This window comes from Homo sapiens, chromosome 11 (genome assembly GCF_000001405.40).
Source record: "Homo sapiens chromosome 11, GRCh38.p14 Primary Assembly".
In the NCBI taxonomy this organism is placed as follows: domain Eukaryota; kingdom Metazoa; phylum Chordata; class Mammalia; order Primates; family Hominidae; genus Homo; species Homo sapiens.
This window is the reverse complement of record NC_000011.10, coordinates 131,038,062-131,043,061: the sequence shown is the minus strand read 5'-3', so window position 1 is coordinate 131,043,061 and position 5,000 is coordinate 131,038,062. Positions and strand designations below refer to the sequence as shown.

The 5,000-nt window shown below is 38.8% G+C and overlaps 1 annotated feature.

Annotated features, from left to right (window-relative positions):
- Positions 4,211 to 4,280: an enhancer, noted in NCBI's record as "active region_5757". NCBI's record gives its function as "activates an Ori minimal core promoter by ATAC-STARR-seq in GM12878 lymphoblastoid cells {active_cell/tissue: GM12878}" and the evidence as "EXISTENCE:reporter gene assay evidence [ECO:0000049][PMID:35858748]".

Sequence of the window (5,000 nt, the reverse complement as noted above, 5' to 3'; positions counted from 1 at the left end):
CATCTGTGGGCCTTGTTTCCTCAGTGGCACTATGGTTTTCCCTCTTGTAAGAGTAGCTTTTACTTCCAGTTTCCATTTCTTACCGAATGATCTCTGTGACAAACACTGAGTGGCCACCCAGCCTCCCCCTGTTCCTTCCTGACAGGATTCCTAACTGGTTCAGGATTCAGGTATCAGGTATCCATCTGCTTCAAGGCAGACTGGTTCCTCCCAGGCCCAGGCATGAATCTTGTTTCTTTAAGCGAGCAATTCCCAAACTTTTTGGTCTCAGGACTTCAACTCTTCAGAATACCCTCTTCAATGACCTTTTGTTTATATGGGTTATTTCTATTTATACTTACCATTTTAGAATTCAAAATTCAGAATTTAAAAAAAAATTGTAAATTCATTTTAAACGAACAATAATAAGCCCAGTACATGTTAACATAAATAATACATTTTTAATGAAGAATAATTACATCTTCCAAAACGATTTGGTTAGATGAGTGGCACTGGGCTGCACCTTTGTAAATCTCTTAAACATGGCTTAATAGAAGACAGCTGCATCCCATCACTGCCTCTCCATTCAATCTGCTGCAATACTTGTTTGGGTTGAAGTATAGGAAGAAAATCTCATCTTTAATAATACAGGTATGCAATTAAAAAGAGAGAGAGAGAGAGAGAAAGAGGAATATTTCCTTTTTAGCTAATTGTGGATATTCTTCTTTGATATTCCAAAACTTGACAAGTGGTAATTTAGCTTAGTTGCAATGTGGAATCTTAAACCAAGTCCATGAACTTTTTCTATTATGTTTCACTAAAATCCATTTATTTCTCTTGTTCTTTGTATGAATCATTTACTCATGCATGATTTTGTAACAGCATGCCTTGGTCATTTGGAAAATATTGGTTCACTGAATTATTCAGATCTTCCAAATGTTGACTTGTTTACTCTGAGACAAAATTTTAAAAACTACATTTGTTAACATTGCCACTAATTTCATCACAAAAATCTTTAAATACTGAGAAACTGTCAAGCGGACACAGATACTGATTTTTCCAAAATTCCAATTTTCACTTGAAAACTCAAATTTTATTATTGTCAACAAACACTGTTGGTTGTTTTCCTTGAAGTGACTCACTTCATTCATTTTTGGGAAAATGTCTGCCAAATACCCACGTCTGAATAATCATAGTTTCTCTGTTGTTCTTTCAAGTAAAAATGGTGTTCTGTGGAAACATTAAATACTTCAGCTTATAACTCACGTAAGCACACATGCATTTTTGCCTCAAGATGACCAGGAAACAATCATACTTCAGAATGCAACAGAAGTGCCTTAGGTGTACCTACCAGTTTGTCACATAGTATATTAAAAAGACACGTATTGATGGGCCAAGATTTAATGAAATTAGTAACTTTTATTGCTTCATCAAGGACATTTTTAAGTGAAACTGGCATTGTTCTTTACTGTGAGCAGGCGGCAGTGAATAATACGATGGCTACCAGCAGAACTGGATGCCACTCCCTTGATTCATGCTAAGGTGCTGGCAGTTTTACCTGCCACTGTTTTTTACAAGTTATTGGTTTAGTCCTGAGTGCATGAGGCAACTTTGGCCTATGACTGATGTGTTGAGAGACTTCTTGGAAGGTCTCACTTATTCTTAAAACTGGAAAGGCATTTCCTTTTATGACTCTAGACATTGACACCACCTGGGACTTCTGGAACAGCAGGAGTGGTCTTGCAACCATGAGGGGAAAGCCAAGACAATCACAGAGAAGTGAATCCTGCAGCTTGGGCATAACTTTGAACCAGTGAATTAGTCAAAGTGACCACACCCCGTCTCTGAAATCCTTGTTCTGTGAGATAAATATCTTCTTGACTGAGCCATTTTTAGCTGATTTCCTTTTATTCGAGTTGATACAGTCTTTGCCGTTGCGGAGGCTGCAATCTACCTGGGTTGAATATTAGCAAATACCTTGTTATGTAGATCCAGTCTTTCCAGCCAAAATATAAACTCCTTGAGAGAAGAGTTTCTTTATTACTATTTTTTTATTATTATACTTTAAGTTCGCGTAATTGCTTTATGCATGATAAACAAAGGCAGTAGAAATCAGGATAAGAGTGATCCCCTTAACTTCAGCAAATGTCCCTGTAATCTGATGCCCTCGTTTTGCTCTATGATCTTGCTGCCAAATCTTGGGTGAGTGTCCTTCATTCTGTAAGACACATTCTTTTCCTTATGAGTCCCCATCACTTATGTCATCTTTCACAAACCTTTTCCAGATCATTTGTTTCATAAAATATTACTTAGTGTCTGACCTATCTTCCACATCCCCAACCTCCACACTAAAATATCAGGCAAGCATACATATAAAAAGGTTACAATAATAATATAATAAGTTTAGTTATTACATATATAAATAATGAGTATTAAGGCATAGACTGAATTAGCCACAAACATATCTTGGAAGACAGATCTACAAACCCATTTATCTCACCCTCAACCATGGGCATTTGATTTTCTTTCTTGAATAAATATGTGAAATTAAGGTGATTTTGTTTCATATTTAGCCTCTGGAAATTTTCCTTGAATGTCTTTCACTATGTTCATTGAATCTTGGATAGAGTCAAAAACTTCCTTTCATCTCCATTTCTAATCAATTGCCTTACATCTGAAATCTGACATTTACTGGTCGTGTGACTTGGGCAATTAACTTGGCTGCTTTGTGCCTTAGTTTCTCCATTTTTAAAATAAAAATTGTAATATAGCCTATCTTAAACAGTAGTTATAAAAATTAAAGAATTAAAAAACATGCACTTCAGAAAATGCCTGACACATTTTAAGAGCTCAAGAAGAATTAGCTATCATTACATTCTTACCATTAGCAGCATCATCGTTACTTTGCCTAAATGCACTGATTCTGCACCCTTTTCTATAGGACGATCATCTCCCCATCTCCCAGCTTCTGGCAAGCACCACAGAGCTATTTGCAGTTGCCATTACTTCCTTTTCTACCCTTGAGACACATGAAAAAGTTGCAGAAAAATAACAAGAGCGTATACAATTTTCAAGAAAGAAGAGGACTTAGGGCTTTTTTCTGGTGGTTTTCCTCATGTCTACTTTCTTGTTCTATTTATTTTCTGTCCTTGACCCTATTATCCTCTTTTGGATTCTCCCACTTCTTCTGCCTTCCCCAATCTTCAAGTGTTTCTCTACACCTGTCTCCATACTTGAGTTTCACTCTATTTGTATTGTAAGAGCATTTAAGGGAAGAACAAATTTATCCTTGTCATTCTTATTGACTCTGTGGTCAGAGTTGGAATCTCAAGCAATTGATTTTTGTTTGTGTATCATTTTGATATACTGTGGTTCAGTAATTTTCCAGAAGGGCAAAGGTCCTATGGCAGATGGTGGGTGTCCCCTGTGTGATCAAACACCAGATCAACTCTTATATTTCAGAAATTAACAATTCCCACATGAACACTTTGGAAAACAAAAAGAATACATTATCATTTCCCTTGGCAAAGGGCCAGGCTGATCTTCCACCTATTAAAACCCTGAAGACAGCCCAATGGATAAGGGTCTAAAAAGAAGGATCAAAAGTTCTCGATTAATAAATTGTCATATCCAAACTCTTACTGCCAATAATGATGCCCTTTCCATCCAAGGCCAGCAGCCTATCGAAGTTTTCTTTCCCACTTACAGACACAGATACATCTGGGGATCTTTCCATGTTTAACTTTTCTGGAACCTCTTAGTTTATCTCACATTCCCATCTCCGCTCTTCTGCTTTGGTTATATATTTTTGGGGGTTGTTTGTTTACCATTTTTATTGCCAAACTCACTTTCAAAACCCATCTTAAAAGTTATTTTTCTTGTTGACTCTTGCTCATCCCCTCCCACTCCCAGAACTGGTCTCATCTGGAATTTAGGCCAGTTAAAGACACCAGAGAACTTGTGCATAGGGTGAGTGTGTCCGCCATCACCCAAATCTGAATACATTTGAAACTGAAGGGAGGTGCTATTTATAATTAACTTAGGACCTCGGAAGCAAATTGAGACTGCCTTAGACAACTCAGAAAAGATGGTCACCCTCTTACATGGAGATGCTTACTACTATTTCCATGGTGAACTGATCATACAATGCAAACCTTCTGCAATTGAGCTTTCTAGTACTGTGCTGACGTTGGACTTGTATTTTAAGCAGTTCAGGAACATGTACATTCAAGCCATCAGTGGAGGTCACTGTCATGATGTTTAGATCCGCCCCGTCTCTAGCTCATTCGTCTATAATAAACTCTCTGCTGCCCCTATGTGGTGTATTCTTGGTTTGGCCAACAATACCCACTCCACCTTCACATTCCCCATTCTGGAGAAGGAACAACAAAGCAAAATTAATGACATCCGTGAGGAAGAGGAAAAGGAAAAAAGGGAGGTAAAAGCAATTATTTTGAAGATATCAAGATTTCTCCCACTTGCCAGGTGCAGTGGCTCACTCCTGTAATCTCAGCACTCTGAAAGGCCAAGATGGGAGGAACCCTCGAGTCCAGAGTCGAAGACAGCCTGTGCAACATAGTGAGACCCTATCTCTACAAAAATTAAACAAAAATGGCTGGGCGTGGTGGTAGGTGCCTGTAGCCCTAGCTACTCAGGAGGCTGGGAGGTGGGAGGATCCCGTGATCCCGGAAGGTCAAGGCTGCAGGGAGCAGTGAGTCCACCACTGCACTCCGGCCTGGGCAACAGAGAGAGACCCTGTCTCCAAAACAAACAAACAAACAAAAAAGATTGCTCCCTCTTTTTGACAGACCTAAAAATAATTTTACTCCTTTACCCTATCCCTTTCTTCTCACAAGAGTCATTATTACGTGACTGTTTTTTCCATTCCCAAAATCACGATGAGATTGGGGATTGGAGGTCTGTGCCAGAAACAGACTAGCGTGGAACCACAGTGGACCACGTGGGGTCAGCAAAGACCTAATGTTGGATCCCCTTTTTAAGCATCCAGCAGGCTTGTAGGC